General features: G+C 37.3%; 1 protein-coding gene across 12 annotated transcripts in view, besides 1 other annotated feature; it reads left to right on the forward strand.

Moving 5' to 3' along the window:
• The window catches only part of ZNF292 (zinc finger protein 292), a 110,379-nt gene extending 95,413 nt beyond the window's left edge, over nt 1-14,966 (forward strand). For all 12 annotated transcript variants that reach the window (XM_047418459.1, NM_001351444.2, NM_015021.3 and 9 more), the window contains one exon: nt 3,673-14,966. In XM_047418459.1, the coding sequence (XP_047274415.1) occupies nt 3,673-10,824 (7,152 nt within the window). In that variant the 3' untranslated portion in view covers nt 10,825-14,966. The remainder of the gene's footprint in view (nt 1-3,672) is intronic.
• Nucleotides 6,540-7,066: an enhancer, noted in NCBI's record as "OCT4-NANOG hESC enhancer chr6:87967235-87967761 (GRCh37/hg19 assembly coordinates)". NCBI's record gives its function as "activates a minimal SCP1, AML or CMV promoter by ChIP-STARR-seq in naive H9 embryonic stem cells {active_cell/tissue: H9 hESC(naive)}" and the evidence as "EXISTENCE:reporter gene assay evidence [ECO:0000049][PMID:30033119]".

A 21,117-nucleotide genomic window follows, 5' to 3' on the forward strand; every position in this document is an offset into this window, starting at 1 on the left:
AAGTAGGTGCTGAATGAATAAAAGAAGTGGGCCATAATAACCCACTTGTCTATTTTCGTTACTCACTTAGTAATGGCTAAAGAGGGAGGAGAGAGTGTTCCTAGTCACAGAAAAAAACACATAAAGTAGTATCAAGACAAATGAGAGAATGGAATATTTGGGGAACTACAGGTAGCTCAGTTGTTTGAGTAGAGGGAAAGATAAAAGAGGAAACTAGAACAGATGAGGCAGTGGTCAGACTGTGAAGTCCTTTTCGTATTCCACACTAAGGTTTATATTTCATTCTGAAATACATGGTAATTATTTAAAGAGTTTTAAAACAGGGTAAAGCATGATGTTATGAGTGGGCAGGGAAGAACTGAATGGGATGTTACATGGGAAACTGAAAGCAACATGCAAGCCTTGGGTGGCTTTAGGTCAAGGATACTAGGCAGCCAGAGGGAAAGAACAGAAAAGGCAATGGGAAGAGGGTACAAAAGACAAACCTTTCTGTTTTCCAGAACTTACCTGGTGCTGTTCTTTTCCTGGAAAGGGATTGAGTTTCTGTTCCTCCTCTGAATTAATGTCACTTAGCTTTCTGTTCCTGTGACTCATCAATTTAAGCTTGTGCTATTAGTATTTGTGATTAACTGTTATGAATTAAATAGATTTTTATGGGCAAATCACTTAATTACATTGTCTTTATAGAAAATTGTTGTGAATTTTAATTCAACTTTTAAAACTTACCTGCTGTATAGCCAGTTTATGATTTGAATATTGCCTGTTCACTTATTTTCAAGTACACACATGAAAGGTCAGAAGGAAAAAAAATTGTAAAATATAGTTTCTTTTGTTTCATTGTCATTAATGTAAAGGTTTCAGGTTTAATTATAACATGAAAATGTTTTTAAAGCAAATTTATTGAGGCTCCTCACCCTTAATGAATCAAAATGAACCTTTGAATTTAGTTGCAGACTGGATTAGAATAGAATGTCAGTGGAATTCCCCTTTTAAATAATTTTAGATGTGTCTTGTGAGCAATAAGTAGAATTCTTTAATCAGCTTTTGCCATTCCTGGAGAAAAGGCTCAATATTCATATGATATAAAATAGTTATATTCTGCAAGACAGATACCCTTCATCCAGAAATCCTTCATTCTCTGAATCCTTTCTGTTTGTTGTTTGTTTTTTTTTTGTTTTTTGTGTTTTTTTTGAGACGTTGTTTTGCTCTCGTTGCCCAGGCTGGAGTGCAGTGGTGCAGTCTCGGCTCACTGCAACCTCTGCCTCCCGTGTTCAAGTGATTCTCCTGCCTTAGCCTCCTCAGTAGCTGGGATTACAGGTGCCCGCCACCACGCCTGGCTAATTTTTTGTATTTTTGGTAGAGACTGGGTTTCATCATGTTGGCCAGGCTGGTCTCAAACTTCTGACCTCACATGATCCACCTGCCTCAGCCTCCCAAAGTGCAGGGATTAACAGGCGTGAGCCACCACACCAGGCCTCTCTTAATCCTTTTTTAAAATTTCTCCATCATTTCCTGAATTTCTGAATAATCACACTGCTTCTCAGAACTTTCACCAGTAAGAACTTGTACCAGTTCTTCTGACATTATTATATGTGCCTTCAGTATTACTTTTAATCATCTTTATGGTTTACTTGGCCCTTAATTCCTCCCAGACTTCTTTCTTTGTGTCTTTCTGTGTGTAGTATGCAGCTTCACAGACCACAGGTGATTTTTTTCTTTCTTGCATATCGTAATAGAGGAGTGGCCTAATTGTTCACCATTAGCAGCCCCTTAAGGCATGTAACAGAGATGCAGATGTTTTACTGTACAAGTTTTAAGGCACAGATCTATCTAGGAATAGTATAACATATACAAGTTTATATGAAATCAAGAGACACCCATATGGTCCCACTTCCTTCCCAGTTTTCATCTTCCCTGTCATTTTTTATTTTTTTATTATTATTTTTAAGAGACAGGGTCTTGCTCTGTTGCCCAGGCTGGAGTGCAGTGTGCAATCCTAGCTTACTGCAGCCTCGAATTCCCAATTTCAAGCAATCCTCCTGCCTCAGCTTTCTTTGTAGCTAGGATTACAGGCACATGCCACCATGCCCAGCTAATTTTTTTTCTTTTTTTTTTGATAGAGATGAGGTCTTTCTGTATTGCCTAGGCTGGTGTCAAACTCTTGGCCTCAATCAGTCCCTCCCACCTTGCCTTCCCAAAGCACTGGGATTACACGCATAAACCATGAGCCACCATGCCCAGCCTTTTTTTTTTTTTTTTTTTTTTGAGACAGGGTCTCACTTTTGTCATGCAGGCTGGATTGTTGCAGTGGTGCGATCTCTGCTCACTGCAGCCTCAGCCTTCCAGGTTCAAGCGATCCTCCTTCCTCAGCCCCACAGGTAGCTGGGACTACAGCTGCATACCACCACACCTGGCTAATTTTTGTACTTTTTATAGAGATGGGGGTTTCCCTATGTTGCCCAGGTTGGTCTCGAACTCCTGAGATCAAGCGATCCTCCTGCCTCGGCCTTCCAAAGTGCTTGGATTATAAGCATGAGCCACCGCACCCAGCCTAACCTATCATTTTAAAAATACGTCTCTTCATACTTTTCTTTCTATTCATTTTCTTTTTGGTCATTGTGCTCTTGCTGTTTCTAAAATCAAGACCAATTCAGTATCCCAGGCTCCTTTTCCTTTTTAGTAAAAATACTAAAATACTTTTGCCCTACAAGTTTAAGCTTCTGATTTAGTAAAATATTTTCTTCTTAACTTAATGAAAATAGAGGCCCTATCAGTTCTCTCTACTTATTTTCTTTGTTGCCTTTTGATCCTGTATCGTACATATTTTATTCCAGTGAATGTGGCCACATCCTGTGGCTATCTTATTTCTCATTTATCATTGTTCCCTTCTGGTCTTTAAAACCCATTTTTATCTCTTTACTCCATGTGTCTTTCAAATGACTTACCTTTGTTATTGCTATCTAATAATAATAGTTCAAGATGCTAATTCAAAAGAAAAAGTTTGTTGGGCTATGTCTACCCCTACTCCTAATTCTTAAGCTGGTCCAGCCATGAGGTAGGTAATTTGACATTTGGTTTTATGATAGCACTAGAATCTCCACTATTAGGGATTAGTACCTTATTTTATAGAAGCAAACTATTTCTTTCAGTACTGATCAGTTTGGAAATATGGGGATGTTCTCAGTTTTATAATTAGATTAGAAGGGTTTTGTTTCAGTTAGATTGCTTATGCAAACAGGAAGTAAGAGTTACAATAAGGATGACATTTATTGATCATTTACTATGTGCCAGACATTATACTAAACTATAACACATATTTAATCTCCTTTAATACAGCAGTTTAATGAAGTTTAAGTGCTGTTTTGACCTCTGTTTTATAAGTGGGATGGGAAAGGTCAGAAAAGTCAAATAACTTCCAAGTTTGCCTAGCCATTAAATAATTCCATACCAAAGTCTTAGCTTCTAATACTTAAACATTTTCTGCCCTTCTATGCAGTTCATTTTACATACACACATACCAGACTAAGCTGCAGTGCTTTAGAAGGGGAATCCTTTCATAAGTTGCTATTGCAAGATTTGAGTAAAACAAATCTCAATCTTAACTAAATTCTGAAATAAATTAGTGTTGATTAGTGTAGATTAAATTAACATTTCCTATTTGCTTTTTCACAGACTGAAGGGGCTGGACTTGCTACCTGTATAGAACTGTGTGTAAAGGCTCTTCGCTTGGAGTCTACAGAAAATACTGAAGTGAAAATATCTATTTGCAAGACCATTTCATGTTTGTTGCCTGATGATCTGGAAGTTAAACGTGCTTGTCAACTGAGTGAATTTCTTATTGAGCCTACAGTAGATGCGTATTATGCTGTGGAAATGTTGTATAATCAGCCAGACCAGAAATATGATGAAGAGAATCTTCCAATACCAAATTCTTTACGCTGTGAGCTGTTACTTGTATTGAAAACTCAATGGCCCTTTGATCCAGAATTCTGGGATTGGAAAACCTTGAAACGACAATGTCTTGCATTAATGGGAGAAGAAGCATCCATTGTGTCTTCAATAGATGAACTAAATGACAGTGAAGTATATGAAAAAGTGGTAGACTACCAAGAAGAGAGTAAAGAAACTTCTATGAATGGGCTTTCTGGTGGAGTTGGTGCTAATTCTGGCCTTCTTAAAGACATTGGTGATGAAAAGCAGAAGAAGAGAGAGATAAAACAGTTAAGAGAGAGGGGATTTATATCTGCTCGGTTTAGGAATTGGCAAGCCTACATGCAGTATTGTGTGTTGTGTGACAAAGAATTCCTTGGTCACAGAATAGTACGACATGCTCAGAAACATTACAAAGATGGAATTTATAGTTGCCCCATATGTGCAAAGAACTTTAATTCTAAAGAAACTTTTGTCCCTCATGTCACACTGCATGTTAAACAATCTAGTAAAGAGAGACTAGCAGCTATGAAACCATTAAGAAGATTGGGAAGGCCTCCAAAGATCACAACTACCAATGAAAATCAGAAGACTAATACTGTGGCTAAACAGGAGCAGCGACCTATAAAAAAGAATAGTCTCTATTCAACAGATTTTATAGTGTTTAATGACAATGATGGTTCAGATGATGAGAATGATGACAAAGATAAATCCTATGAGCCAGAAGTGATTCCAGTCCAGAAACCAGTACCTGTTAATGAATTTAATTGCCCTGTAACTTTTTGTAAAAAGGGCTTTAAGTACTTTAAAAATTTAATTGCTCATGTGAAGGGGCATAAAGATAATGAAGACGCCAAGCGCTTTCTTGAAATGCAGAGCAAAAAAGTTATTTGCCAGTACTGTAGGCGGCATTTTGTGAGTGTTACTCATCTCAATGATCACTTACAGATGCACTGTGGCAGTAAACCATATATCTGTATACAGATGAAATGTAAAGCTGGTTTTAATAGTTACGCCGAGCTTTTAACCCACCGAAAGGAGCATCAAGTCTTTAGAGCAAAATGTATGTTTCCTAAATGTGGAAGAATTTTTTCGGAAGCTTATTTACTATATGATCATGAAGCACAACATTATAATACGTACACTTGTAAGTTCACAGGTTGTGGTAAAGTTTATCGTTCTCAGGGTGAGCTGGAAAAGCATCTGGATGATCACAGTACTCCTCCTGAAAAAGTGCTGCCTCCTGAAGCCCAACTTAATTCATCTGGAGATTCCATTCAGCCTTCTGAAGTGAATCAGAACACAGCAGAGAATATTGAGAAAGAAAGATCTATGCTTCCTTCAGAAAATAACATTGAAAACAGCTTACTAGCAGATAGAAGTGATGCTTGGGATAAAAGCAAAGCAGAATCAGCTGTGACCAAACAAGACCAGATTTCTGCCTCTGAGCTCAGGCAAGCTAATGGACCATTGTCAAATGGTTTGGAAAACCCTGCTACTACTCCTCTACTTCAATCCAGTGAAGTAGCTGTGTCCATTAAGGTGTCTCTCAATCAGGGGATTGAGGATAACTTTGGAAAGCAAGAAAACTCAACTGTGGAAGGCAGTGGTGAAGCACTGGTCACAGACTTACATACGCCAGTTGAAGATACTTGTAATGATTTGTGTCATCCAGGTTTCCAGGAGAGAAAAGAACAAGATTGCTTTAATGATGCCCATGTTACTCAGAATTCTTTAGTAAATTCAGAAACTCTCAAAATAGGTGACCTTACCCCACAAAACTTAGAAAGACAAGTGAACAACTTGATGACCTTTTCTGTGCAAAATCAGGCAGCATTTCAAAACAATTTACCAACTTCCAAATTTGAATGTGGAGATAATGTTAAAACATCATCCAATCTTTATAATTTACCTCTTAAGACATTAGAAAGTATTGCATTTGTTCCACCGCAGTCCGACCTAAGTAATTCATTAGGAACTCCATCAGTGCCTCCAAAAGCTCCAGTTCAGAAATTCAGCTGCCAGGTCGAGGGATGTACTCGAACCTATAATTCTTCACAGAGTATTGGGAAACACATGAAGACAGCACACCCTGACCAATATGCTGCATTTAAAATGCAGCGCAAAAGTAAAAAAGGTCAGAAAGCTAACAACTTAAATACACCAAATAATGGAAAGTTTGTTTATTTTTTGCCATCACCGGTGAACAGCTCAAATCCATTTTTTACATCACAGACCAAAGCCAATGGGAATCCTGCTTGTTCGGCCCAGTTGCAGCATGTCTCGCCACCCATTTTTCCAGCTCATTTAGCAAGTGTGTCAACTCCATTGTTGTCCTCAATGGAAAGTGTCATAAATCCAAATATAACTTCTCAGGATAAAAATGAACAAGGTGGTATGTTATGTTCCCAAATGGAAAATTTACCTAGTACTGCCTTGCCAGCACAAATGGAAGATCTAACCAAAACAGTTCTGCCTTTGAATATTGACAGTGGCTCAGATCCTTTCCTTCCTTTACCTGCAGAAAGTAGTTCAATGTCTCTCTTCCCTTCACCAGCAGATAGTGGGACTAATTCTGTTTTTTCCCAACTGGAAAATAATACAAATCATTATTCCTCACAGATTGAAGGAAACACTAATTCCTCCTTTCTAAAGGGGGGTAATGGTGAAAATGCAGTTTTTCCTTCACAAGTGAATGTTGCAAATAACTTCAGTAGCACCAATGCCCAACAGTCTGCACCTGAAAAAGTTAAAAAAGACCGTGGGCGGGGCCCAAATGGGAAGGAAAGAAAACCTAAGCACAACAAAAGGGCTAAATGGCCTGCAATTATCAGAGATGGGAAATTTATCTGTAGCAGGTGTTACAGGGCTTTTACTAATCCCAGATCACTGGGTGGGCACTTATCCAAGCGATCTTACTGTAAACCACTGGATGGAGCCGAAATTGCTCAAGAACTTCTACAGAGTAATGGACAGCCTTCTCTTCTTGCCAGCATGATTCTCTCCACAAATGCAGTAAATTTGCAGCAGCCACAACAATCTACCTTCAATCCAGAAGCATGTTTTAAAGATCCATCATTTCTACAGCTTCTTGCTGAAAATCGCTCGCCAGCATTTTTACCAAATACATTTCCTCGATCTGGTGTGACTAACTTTAATACCAGTGTCAGTCAAGAAGGTAGTGAAATTATTAAACAGGCTTTGGAAACTGCTGGCATTCCCAGTACATTTGAGGGTGCCGAAATGCTTTCTCATGTTTCAACAGGTTGTGTCTCTGATGCATCACAAGTAAATGCAACGGTGATGCCAAATCCAACTGTACCACCCCTGTTGCACACTGTATGCCATCCAAACACCTTGCTGACCAACCAGAATAGGACGTCAAACTCCAAAACTTCCTCCATTGAGGAATGTAGCAGCTTGCCTGTTTTTCCAACGAATGACTTACTACTGAAGACTGTTGAAAATGGTTTGTGCTCTAGTTCATTTCCTAATTCTGGTGGGCCATCACAAAATTTTACCAGTAACAGTTCTCGTGTTTCTGTTATAAGTGGTCCTCAGAACACAAGATCCAGTCATTTAAATAAAAAGGGAAACAGTGCTTCTAAGAGAAGAAAGAAAGTTGCTCCTCCACTAATTGCACCTAACGCTTCCCAAAACTTGGTAACAAGTGACTTAACAACAATGGGACTCATAGCAAAGAGTGTTGAAATCCCAACTACTAACCTTCATTCAAATGTAATTCCAACTTGTGAACCTCAGAGTTTGGTGGAAAATCTAACACAGAAATTAAATAATGTTAACAATCAGTTATTTATGACTGATGTAAAAGAGAATTTCAAAACCAGTCTTGAGTCCCATACAGTGTTAGCCCCTTTAACATTAAAAACTGAAAATGGTGATTCCCAAATGATGGCTTTGAATTCATGCACAACTTCAATAAATTCTGATTTGCAGATTTCTGAAGACAATGTTATACAAAACTTTGAAAAGACTCTTGAAATTATTAAAACTGCTATGAATTCTCAAATACTTGAGGTAAAAAGTGGATCTCAGGGTGCTGGTGAAACTTCACAAAATGCTCAAATAAATTATAACATTCAGCTTCCTTCAGTAAACACTGTGCAAAATAACAAATTACCCGATTCTTCTCCGTTTTCCTCCTTTATAAGTGTCATGCCAACAAAAAGTAACATTCCTCAGTCTGAAGTATCACATAAGGAGGATCAAATACAGGAAATTTTAGAAGGCTTACAGAAATTAAAATTAGAAAATGACCTATCCACTCCAGCATCCCAATGTGTACTGATAAATACATCAGTGACACTGACTCCCACGCCTGTTAAATCAACTGCAGATATCACAGTTATTCAGCCAGTTTCTGAAATGATAAACATTCAATTTAATGACAAAGTTAATAAACCCTTTGTGTGTCAAAACCAAGGCTGTAACTACAGTGCTATGACAAAGGATGCACTATTTAAGCACTATGGTAAAATTCATCAATACACTCCAGAAATGATTCTTGAAATTAAGAAGAATCAATTGAAATTTGCTCCCTTTAAATGTGTAGTACCTACATGTACAAAAACATTTACAAGAAATTCTAACCTCCGGGCACACTGTCAGTTGGTGCATCATTTTACAACTGAAGAAATGGTAAAGTTAAAAATTAAAAGGCCTTATGGAAGAAAATCTCAGAGTGAAAATGTGCCGGCCTCACGAAGTACACAAGTGAAAAAACAGCTAGCTATGACAGAGGAAAATAAAAAGGAATCTCAGCCTGCTTTAGAATTGAGAGCAGAGACCCAAAATACCCACAGTAATGTAGCAGTGATCCCAGAAAAACAACTTGTAGAAAAAAAAAGTCCTGACAAAACAGAAAGTTCTTTACAAGTGATTACAGTTACTTCAGAACAATGTAATACAAATGCACTCACAAACACACAAACCAAAGGACGGAAGATTAGGAGGCATAAAAAAGAAAAGGAGGAGAAAAAACGAAAGAAGCCAGTTTCCCAATCCCTTGAGTTTCCAACAAGATACAGTCCTTACAGACCTTATCGATGTGTTCACCAGGGATGCTTTGCTGCCTTTACGATACAGCAAAACTTGATTCTCCATTACCAGGCTGTACACAAATCAGATCTACCTGCATTTTCAGCAGAGGTCGAAGAGGAAAGTGAAGCTGGTAAAGAAAGTGAAGAAACTGAAACTAAACAAACTTTGAAAGAATTTCGATGTCAGGTAAGTGACTGTTCTCGAATTTTCCAAGCAATTACTGGCCTAATACAACACTACATGAAACTTCATGAAATGACTCCTGAAGAAATTGAAAGTATGACTGCTTCAGTGGATGTTGGGAAGTTTCCATGTGACCAGTTAGAGTGTAAATCTTCATTTACTACATATTTGAACTATGTTGTTCATCTAGAGGCAGACCACGGGATTGGACTAAGGGCAAGTAAAACAGAAGAAGATGGTGTATACAAATGTGATTGTGAAGGCTGTGACCGTATATATGCAACCCGGTCGAATCTCCTCCGACACATTTTTAATAAGCATAATGACAAACATAAGGCTCATTTGATTCGTCCAAGAAGATTAACACCAGGCCAGGAAAATATGTCAAGCAAGGCAAACCAAGAAAAATCAAAGTCTAAACATCGGGGGACCAAGCACAGCAGATGTGGAAAGGAAGGAATAAAAATGCCCAAGACCAAACGAAAGAAAAAAAATAATTTAGAAAACAAGAATGCAAAGATTGTGCAGATTGAAGAAAATAAGCCTTATTCTCTGAAACGTGGGAAGCATGTATATTCTATAAAGGCTAGAAATGATGCCCTGTCTGAGTGTACAAGCAGATTTGTAACCCAGTATCCATGTATGATAAAGGGATGTACTTCAGTTGTTACAAGTGAAAGCAATATAATTAGACATTATAAGTGCCATAAATTATCTAAGGCATTTACATCACAACACCGAAATCTTCTTATTGTATTCAAACGGTGTTGCAACTCACAAGTAAAGGAAACGTCTGAGCAAGAAGGTGCTAAGAATGATGTGAAAGATTCTGACACGTGTGTATCAGAGAGCAATGATAATTCAAGAACAACAGCTACAGTTTCACAAAAGGAAGTTGAAAAAAATGAAAAAGATGAAATGGATGAACTAACAGAATTGTTTATTACAAAATTAATAAATGAAGATAGCACAAGTGTAGAGACCCAAGCTAATACTTCTTCAAATGTAAGTAATGATTTTCAGGAAGATAACCTCTGCCAGTCAGAAAGACAAAAAGCAAGTAATTTGAAGAGAGTTAATAAGGAAAAAAATGTCTCACAAAATAAAAAAAGGAAAGTTGAAAAAGCTGAACCAGCATCAGCAGCTGAGTTAAGTAGCGTGCGTAAAGAAGAAGAAACTGCTGTTGCCATTCAAACCATTGAGGAGCATCCTGCATCTTTTGACTGGAGCTCTTTTAAGCCAATGGGATTTGAAGTATCATTTCTGAAGTTTCTTGAGGAGTCTGCAGTGAAGCAGAAGAAAAATACTGACAAAGACCATCCGAATACTGGAAACAAAAAAGGATCCCATTCAAATTCAAGAAAAAATATTGATAAGACTGCTGTGACTAGTGGAAATCATGTATGTCCTTGTAAAGAAAGCGAAACGTTTGTACAGTTTGCCAATCCATCACAGCTTCAGTGCAGTGATAATGTAAAAATTGTTTTAGACAAGAATCTTAAAGATTGCACTGAGCTTGTCTTAAAGCAACTTCAGGAAATGAAACCTACCGTCAGTCTGAAAAAACTTGAAGTACATTCAAATGATCCAGATATGTCTGTTATGAAAGATATCAGTATAGGTAAAGCCACAGGCAGAGGTCAGTACTGATAATTAATGTAGTATAAATACATCATTTACCATTTTATTTTAAATAGGAAGCCATCAAGCATGCTAGAATTGTGAAACTTTCATTATATTTTTTTGTTGTTGACATGAATTAACCTGGCCAAAAACAAAAAAGAAAAAAAAAACATGACATTTGTCATGTAAAACTTTTTTTTATCCCTATGGGACTTGAGGAACAGAATCAGTACTTCAGTTATTGTAAATAGTGAGCTAAACCTCAAATTTCTATCACCCAGTTGCCCTTTTCATGAACTAAACAATTATCTGTGTGATTGGTATGTTTCACCAGGTCACTGCTCATGTATAACAGTACTCTTTATTTGTAGATACCTTTTTTGTATATATTTATTATTGTAAATCATGTGCTGCCACCAGCAGTCTGTAAGTCTAAACTATTAAATGACACATTTATATTTGGAATTTTAATTTTTAACTAAGCGATCAAGTTTTTTAAATTGTTCTTTTATTGTTTTAAATTAAGAACTTTTTGAACTAAAACCAGAAACTCTGCCATAGTTCATTGATTTTTACATGAAACATTTATTTACAAGATGATATCAAGATTACTTTTCACAAAATAGGCACATTATATCAACACTTTGCTCTGCTTTGTAAATTTGCCATCCAGGATTTTGGGGTGGTATTCATGTGAAATTAAAGCAGATTCTCTAGCAGTTTCCTATAGCTACAGTTTTTTTTTTTCATTGCTTCTAATTGGATATAGTTACTATGAGTCCATGAAATACAATGGAAATGTGAATAAAGAATTTACTACATTGAAGATTTTAAACATTTGGTATTAAAAAAAAATCCTTTGTGAATGTGATAGAAAACTAGTAGTGTGGAGCAGTGTAAATATTTGAGGTGGTGATTTGTGAAGTAGCCCAGTATTGCCTTAAATAAAATCACATTTCATTTCTTGTTTTATACATGTGATCTTATAAAGATTTTTTGTTTTGTTTTGTTTTCCATTTTCTGAGATTTATAGATTGGTGTATAGCTTTAAACTGTATAAAGTTTTGTGGAAAGATTTTTTTAAACATTTTTATAAATCTTAAAATTGATATCATCAAAGTGAGCCCATCTTGTGTTTATAAAATACAAGAGTCCTTAACATTTATAATTACATAGATAAAACACTTTCTATAAGGAAGTTGGATGTTTTGATTTTACTGTTTATAGATGTTAGATTGTACAGATTTGTCTGTATTTCTCACCATATCTAATGATACTTTTTTCATTAGATTGGTCTTCAAGAACAGTATTAGTTATAATTATTTTGGTTATTCAGTATATAGTTAGCTCTTACAGTTTAGCTTTATTCACCATATTTATACTGTGGATTCACAGCGAGAGGTAGAGGTTATTCCAGGAGAGTTGATGACCTTCATTTAAAGTCCAACTAAAATCAGTAGTAGAAACATAAGAAAACATCTTTGCAATATTTACTTTTGTTTCTGTTTGCCGTAAATAGTAACATTGTTTTTTTTTATTTTGTGTTTGTTATAAAACAGTTGCATTCACAATATTATTGGCCTGAGATATTGATGATATTGTGATGGTATGAAAATGTGTACATTCCCTGTGCAACATCAGATTTGCAGGAAAAATGAAGCACTTACTGAAATCGCTGGTACTCTGAATAAATAAGCATGGTCAAGGAGTGAACTATTTTCTTTTGGAAATTTCTTTTTAATTTTTATTATTAAAGTATTTTATTTTTAGGGCCTTTTGGGTTTTATTGAATAGTTCATTTCACCTGTTTAAGACTTACTACCAATAAGCATAAAACCTGACACGTTAAAATCCCTGCCCTTTGGTGAGCCCACTGTTATTTATTAAAATAAAAGTTATTTTATGGGTGATTAATACATGGGTTTTCTTTTTCCTAAATTAACAATAATTTAAATAACTGAGTAATTTTAATATTAAATTTTTGTTAACAACTGAATGTTTCCATACAGTTTTCTTAGAAATTGACCTAGCTCTTAAAGGTGGGCACTTGGCAAAACTGCCCTATATAGCACAGTAGCAAGTAGGTTTATTTCTGATCATTGTAACTATGAGCCACTGTTAAGTGAAAATGCCAATGTATTGGGGCTTTTCTTTTGCTCATTAGCTTAAGAAAATTTATAACTAGACATTTCTAATTGTTTTACATGTCATGGGGAAGAGTTTGCCAACATTTAATGAAATTTTTATATTCCAGGTAATGTATACTAAAGGTAATTATGAGAGTGGGCTTTTTAGCATGAAACAAAAAAAATCAAACTATGGTAAAAAGACATGAATTTATAGAATAGCATGTTGGTAAATTTTGATACGGAATGTAATGTCTAAGTATTAAAAAATCATAAAATATATTTTTTTCATGGTATACTTTTCCCCAGCCTATTGTCTTGAGATATCTTCTACAGCCTAAATTTGCTAAAGTTTCATCACTAAAAAGTAGGAGTTTTTCCTCTTCTGAACCCGCAAAGTTTGCATATTACAGGTCAGAATTGTATTATTCAAAATACATCACCTTAAGTGAAATGTAACAGTTTTTGAAATTTTCAACGGTGTTAAATTTAACATAGGTACATTATTATTTTAAAGGGCTAGACATATTTTTAAGGCAAATTTTTATCAAGTGAGCAGTCACAGTTGCTGTAGATAATATGAAAGTACAATAATACTATACCTAGGGACATCAGAAAGAATGCCCTATTTTTCTGGAAAAGGAGGTAGGTAGTTGGGAAAGTCTTTGTAGAAAATATGAGTTTTGAAAGATGAATGAATGCTCATTGGTTCAGGGGGACAAGGGAATTCCAGACTTGGGGGTAGAGCGTAATTGCGGTATTGCCAGTGGGCCACTTGGAAAGATAGGAAGTTGAAGAAGGTGAAGCTGAAGAAGCAGATGGGTGGTGGGATCAGGAGTGTTCTTGTATGCTGTATTAAGTCTTTATTTTGGTTTTTGAAAATTGTTATTGGATGCATGTATATTGAACAATTTAATCAGTATCAGTTTTAGAAAGATAATTGTCATGGTATAGTGGATAAATTGAGTAAGTTGGAGATTAATTAGGGGGACCTAAAATAGTCCAGGCAAAAAATGATGGGAGCCAGAAGAAAGGCTAACGAAGTTGGGGAAGAGACTAATGGATAAGAGAGATAATAAAAAGTAATGTCTAAGGCAGCCTGTTTCAGCATGTTTATTGTAGTGAGATACTAGGCAGGTGGAAGGTTATTGCTGTGATGAAATAAGTTTTCTAAATTGTGTGCTGTAGTTCTCTCTCTCTCTCTCTCTTTTTTTTTCTTTGTTTTTTTTGGAGACAGAGTCTCGCTCTGTTGCCCAGGCTGGAGTGCAGTGTTGCACGATCTCGGCTTACTGCAACTTCTGCCTCCCAAGTTCAAGTGATTCTCCTGCCTCAGCCTCCCCAGTAGCTGGGACTACAGATGCATGCTATCACACCCAGCTAATTTTGTAGTTTTGGCACAATCTCAGCTCAGTGCAACTTCCATCTCCCAGGTTCAAGTGATTCTCCTACCTCAGCCACCCAAGTAGGTGCACACCACCACACCTGGCTGATTTTATATTTTTAGTAGAGACGGTTTCACCATGTTGGCCAGGCTGGTCTTGAACTCCTGACCTCAGGTGATCACCCACCTCCACCTCCCAAAGTGCAGGTATTACAAGCATGAGCCACCACACCCAGCCTCTCTTAAATAATTTAATGCATGTTTGCATATTAAAGACAAAAGTTCTACTGTAAATATGTAAAAAGTTGAAAGGGAATTTTCCAGACTTAATTGACCCTGAGAACATTTTTCTTCTTTTAATGTTAATACTTAGTTATATCCCACTGAACTAGCATTCTAAAGAACACACTTTGGGAAATGCTGATCTCAAATGGCATTTATTCAACCAGGACTGATAATCAACGTGTACACCAATTCAATTGTATCAGCTGTTTGCAAATGGTGATTATTCTGATTGATCAATTTATATATCCCAATGGGTTGATTCCTTTGCTGTATTGGTTGTTAATGTTTTGAATATTACCCGGTATTCAAGTAATGCTCATTGAATTTCAAGTAATTGTGATTAAACGTTGATTAAAATCCAGTCATACTTGCCAGAAGCCCCTGCCTTTAAACATTCTTATCCTACTTCCCATTTCCCACTCTTCTCATTTCATTGAACGCATAGTAACCTTCCTTCCCCACTTCAAAGCCTATCTGGAATGCTTATTTCTCTTATTTCTATGGGTGACTCCATATCCCGTCAGTTCACAGCTTAAATGTCACCTCATCGGAAAGACACCCAGATCATAAAGTTTCACATGCCCATTCTTTACAACAGTTTTTTAAAAAATACTTACTTTAATCTATATCTTCCAACACTACCAGTCAATGAAGAAAATGATAATAATACCTGTGTTCTTCAATGACTTTGCCACAATCAAACCCCATATCACTTCCAAATCTTGAATTCAATTTATTTTTCTGGCCACAAACTTGTAGCTCACCTGCTCAAGATATCTCTGCTAAAAGAATACTTCTACCTTATTACTACCACTTGCTGACTATTCATCAGCTTACTCCTGTCCTCAGCTTGTTCAGCCTAGAAACTAGCTAGATCCCATTGTTAAACGCACTCCTTTGCAAATATCCTCAGACCATACACCTCTCCCTCTGTCATGATCCTGAAAAATCCTCAAACCGTCTGTCTACTCTTCAGCAGTGGAATGGAAGAAAATTATTCCAGGAGATAGGTTGGTAATCCCAAAACTTAAGTAGACTCAACACTACCTGGCAGTTTTTCTATAGTTTTCTGGTAACTTGCTTTCTCAAGCTTAAATGACATACATCCCTCGTTTCATGACCTTTAACCACATTTTGCTGAGGAAAAAGAAAAACGACATGAACCCTTTCAACTTTTCACCACCAAATCAATAAACCTGCTTGTATTTGCACTGTATTCTACTTAGTAAAAACAAATTCCTCTTCTGGATTCCATCCCCCCACTGCCCATCTCCTTAAGAACTTCCTGTTGCTCTCTTGTTTCATCAATATTTCTTTTACTTGATCCTTTCCAACAGTTTATGAATAGACTCTAGTAGCTACTATTCTTGAAAAAATAGGGGTTAGACACTTTATTCATCCAACTATAACCCTATTTGTTTGGTCCCAGTTACAGCCAGTGTGACTTTTCTGCTCATATATGCTCCGTTTCCTCACTTCTGACTTAACTGCCACTTTCTGTGTTCCCACAACACTCCTAAAATTTTTTCTTGTTAGGATCACCACTGTCTTCCATGCTGCCGTATGTATTGTTTATTTTTCTGCCCCCACTCACTGCCTCAGGAGCATGCAGAAAGGTTGATGACTCCTTGAAATATTCTCTTGGTTTTCTCCTTACCTATTCTGGCTGCTCCATTTCTGATTCCATCCCTAGCTCCATTTCGAGTACCTGACCTCTGGGTCACTATTTCTCTCTACACTCTCTTTGCATGATTCTGTGGAGTTTAGTATCTGATCGATGTATCTATCCTACCCATATTTATACCTCTGAAGACCAGAGTTTTCATAGTTCTCTGCTTGTATATTCAACTGCCTACTTCATAGTTAAGTATATCATGTCCAAACCTTTATGTCCTTTGTCCTACTTTCAATCTGCTCCTCTCCCGATATCTCTTATCTTGATAAGTGAAGTCACTACCTGGTTTTCTGAAGCTAGGCTTTTAGATGTCCTCATACCAATTCATGTTTTTTCCCTTTGTTTAGTCACAATTGTCATTTTTACCTTCTGTTTTTTGTTTTTTTTTTTTTTTTTTGGAGACGGAGTCTTGCTCTGTCACCAGGCTGGAGTGCAGTGGTGTGATCTTGATTCACTGCAACCTCCACCTCGTCTCAGCCTCCTGTGTAGCTGGGACTACAGGCGCACACCACCACACCCAGCTAATTTTTGTACTTTTTAGTAGTGATGGGATTTCACCATTTTGGTCAGAATGGTCTTGATCTCCTGACCTCGTGATCCACCCGCCTTGGCCTCCCAAAATGCTGGGATTACAGGCATGAGCCACCACACCCAGCCGTCATTTCTACCTTCTAAGTAGGAAGGAACCTTTCTTGTCATCATAACTCTAATCCAAATCACCATCATATTTTGCCTAAATTATTATAACAGCCTCCCTACTGGCTTACTTCCAGAATATTCCCCACCAAGCAGACAGATTGGTTTTTTTTTTTTTTTCAAGTAATTTCAAAGGGAGGAAAACTCATGATTTTCCCACTGCACTTTGAGTAAAATATGTTTATTTTTTAGTAAGTTCAATAAAGGAATAATACAGGGTATTCTCAGGATATATAATAGGGTGAGAATATGATATATACTCTGGTAAGGGAAAGCAATAAAAGGCTTACCTATAAAAGTAAAAATTAGCCGGGCACGGTGGCTCATGCCTGTAATCTCAGCACTTTGGGAGGCCAAGGCAGGCAGATCGCCTGAGGTCAGGAGTTCAAGACCAGTCTGGCTGATGTGGTGAAACCCCGTCTCTACTAAAAATGCAAAAATTAGCTGGATGTGGTGGCAGGCACTTGTAATCCCAGCTACTTGGGAGGCTGAGGTAGGAGAATTGCTTGAACCCAGGAGACGGAGGTTGCAGTGAGCCGAGATCACACCACTGCACTCCAGCCTGGGTGACAAGAGAGAGACTTCATCTCAAAAAAGTAAAAATTAGGGGAGGGAAGGCAGTGAAAACTCAGGCTAAGGGAAAAGCATGTGTAAAAAGCTCTGATAAGAATAGCTTTTGAGGAAATGATAGAAAGTTGCTAAGGATAAATTTAAAGTGAAGAAAGGTAAGCAAGAGCCAGATCACTTAAGTGTCTTAGGAAGACCTAATTGTTTGTATTGGACTTTATCCTAAGTAATGAGTTCACATTTGGTTTTTAAGCAGAGGAATGAGATTTCTTACACTTGGAGTTTTAAAAGTTTACTCTGGAGGGGAAGCATTCCAATGGGGAATTCAAGAAGACTGGTTAGGAAGCCTGTCCAAGTCATCCAGGAAAGAAGATACTGGCTTGGAATAGGTTGGTGCTGGCAGAGAGAGAGAAAAGTTGATGGACTTGAGAGATCTAAAATATTGGACAGGACTTGACCATTAAGGATTATGGGAAAGGAGAGAGGGGAAAGAAATGTGAGGTTTTTGGTTTAAATAAATGGTTGAAGACATACCATTTCTTCATGAAGCTAAGATGAAGAGGAGCAATTTTATGAATGGATGGTTGCTTAGGGAAAGAGAATATAGAAAAGGGCTGAATCCAGAAGAACTCAGTACTTAGAAGCAGATTAATAGCAAAATAGAATCATGGCAACAGTAGGATGGACATATTTAAAGGAGGCATGTACAGCTCTGTTACATTCTGCCAACATAAGAATTTAAAGTGTCCTTTGGATTTAGTGGTAAGAAAATAATCAGTGACCTTTGCAATTACTTAGTTTTAGTGGAAGCCAGAAGAAGGTTGAGGATTATAGAAAGCAAGTTTAAACGCCTATATTTGAAAGTTTGTGAAGGGGAGGGAAAGATGGACTGGTGGCTGAAAAATGTCATGGAATTTCATCAAAGTTCTTAAAATGATGGACAAAATAGAATATATTGAAGTGCCAGTGAAAGGATTTGGTAGAGGTTACGATGTGAGGAATAGCATATCTTATAAAATTCATAAGTTTCTGTCTTTAGTATTTGTGAATGTTGATGCTGTTTACCAAGATAACATAGAAGGAATTGGATTGGAGGAAAGGATAATGTTGAGTGTGAGATTCCTGTAGGTCATCCATGCAGAGATGTATAGTGATCAGTTTTTTTTTTTTTTTTAATTTAAGTTCAGAGGTACATGTGCAGGTTTGTTACATAGGTAAACTTGTGTCATGGGGGTTTGTTGTACAGATTATTTAATAATCACCCAAATGTTAAACCTAGTACTCATTAGTTATTACTGATCCCCTCTCTCCTCCTACCTTCCCCTTCAATAGGCCACAGTGTCTGTTGTTCCCCCTCTGTGTCCATGTGTTCTCATAACTTAGCTCCTGCTTATAAGTGAGAACATGCAGTGTTTGGTTTTCTGTTCCTGTATTAATTTGCTAAGGCTAATGGCCTCCAGCTCCATCTGTGTTCCTGCAAAGGACATGATCTCATTCTTTTATGGCTGCATAATATTCCATGGTGTATATGTACCACATATTCTTTATCCAGTCTGCTATTGATGGGCATTTAGGTTGATTCCTTGTCTTCGCTATTGTGAATAGTGCTGCAGTGAACATATATTTTTTTGACTTTTTATAGCCATTCTGACTGGTGTGAGATGGTACTGCATTGTGGTTTTGATTTTCATTTCTCTAATGGTCAGTGATACTGAACTTTTTTTCATATGTTTGTTGGCTGCGTGTATGTCTTTTGAAAACTGTCTGTTCGTATCCTTTGCCCACTTTTTTGAGGGTTTTTTTTTTCTTGTAAATTTGCCTAAGTTCCTTATAGATGCTGGACATTAGACCTTTGTCAGATGCAAAGTTTGCAAAAATTTTCTCCCCTTTTGTAGGTTGTCTGTTTACCCTGTTGATAGTTTCTTTTGCAGTGCAGAAGCTCTTTAGTTTAATTAGATCTCATTTGTCAATTTTTGCTTTTGTTGCAATTGCTTTTGGAGTCTTTGTTATGAAATCTTTGCCCATGCCTATGTCCTGAATGATACTAAGGTGCCTTCCCAGAGTTTTTATAGTTTTGGGTTTAACATTTAAGTCTTTAATCCATCTTGAGTTAAGGAAGGGGTCCCATTTTAATCTTCTGCATGTGACCATCCACTTATCCCAGCACCATTTATTGAATGGTGTCCTTCCCCCATTGCTTGTTTTTGTCAGCTTTGTCAAAGATCAGATAGTGTTAGGTGTGTGCCCTTATTTCTGGGCTCTCTATTCTATTCCATTGGTCTATGTGCCTGTTTTTGTGCCAGTGCCATGCTGTTTTTGTTACTGTATCCCTCTTGTCTAGTTTGAAGTTGGGTAGCATGATGCCTCCAACTTCGTTCTTTTTGCTTAGAATTGCCATGGCTATTTGGGCTCTTTTTTGTTTCCATATGAATTTTAAAATAGTTTTTTCAAGTACTGCGAAGAAAGTCATTGGTAGTTTAATAGGGATCGTATTCAATCTATAAATTGCTTTGGGCAATATGGCCCTTTCAACGATGTTGATTCTTCTTATCCATGAGCATGGACTATTTTTCCATTTGTGTCATCTCTGATTTCTTTCTTTATTTTCTTTTTTTTCTTTTTTTTTTCTTTTTTTTGAGATGGAGTTTCGCTCTTGTTGCCCAGGCTGGAGTGCAGTGGCACAATCTCGGCTCACCGCAACCTCCGCCTCCCGGGTTTAAGGGATTCTCCTGCCTCAGCCTCCTGAGTAGCTGGGATTACAGGCATGTACCACCAAGCCTGGCTAATTTTGTGTTTTTAGTAGAGACGGGGTTTCTCCATGTTGGTCAGACTGGTCTCGAACTCCCAACCTCAGGTGATCTGCCGACCTTGGCCTCCCGAAGTGCTGGGATTACAGGTGTGAGCCACCACGCCCAGCCCAATCATCTCTTTGGGTAGTCATTTCTTTGGGCAGTGTTTTGTAGTTCTCTTTGTAGCGATATTTCACCTCCCTGGTTAGCTGTATTCATAGGTACTGTATTATTTTTGTGGCAGTTGTGAATGGGATTGTGTCCTGATTTGGCTTTCGGCTTGACTGTTGTTGATGTATAGTAATGCTAGTGACTCTTCTCCATTGTTTTATATACTGAGAGTATGCTGAAGTTGTTTATCAGCTTAAGGAGCTTTTAGGCCTGGACTATGGAGTTTTCTAGATATAGGATCATGTCTGCAAACAGGAATAGTTTGACTTCCTCTCTTCCTGTTTGGATGCCCTTTATTTCTTTCTCTTGCCTGATTGCTCTGGCTAGGACTTCTAATACTGTGTTGAACAGGAGTGGTGAGAGAGGAGATCCTTCTCTCGTGCCAGTTTTCAAGTGGAATGCTTCCGGCCTTCGACCATTGAGTATGATGTTGGCTGTGGGTTTATCATAAATGGTTCTTATTATTTTGAGGTATGTTCCTCCAGTGCCTAGTTTATTGAGAGTTTTTAACATGAAAGCGGTGTTGAATTTTATCAAAAGCGTTTTCTGCATCTGTTGAGATAATCATGGTTTTTGCCTTTAGTTCTGTTTATGTGATCAATCACATTTTTGGTTTTCATATGTTGAACC

This window comes from Homo sapiens, chromosome 6 (assembly GCF_000001405.40).
Source record: "Homo sapiens chromosome 6, GRCh38.p14 Primary Assembly".
NCBI lineage: Eukaryota > Metazoa > Chordata > Mammalia > Primates > Hominidae > Homo > Homo sapiens.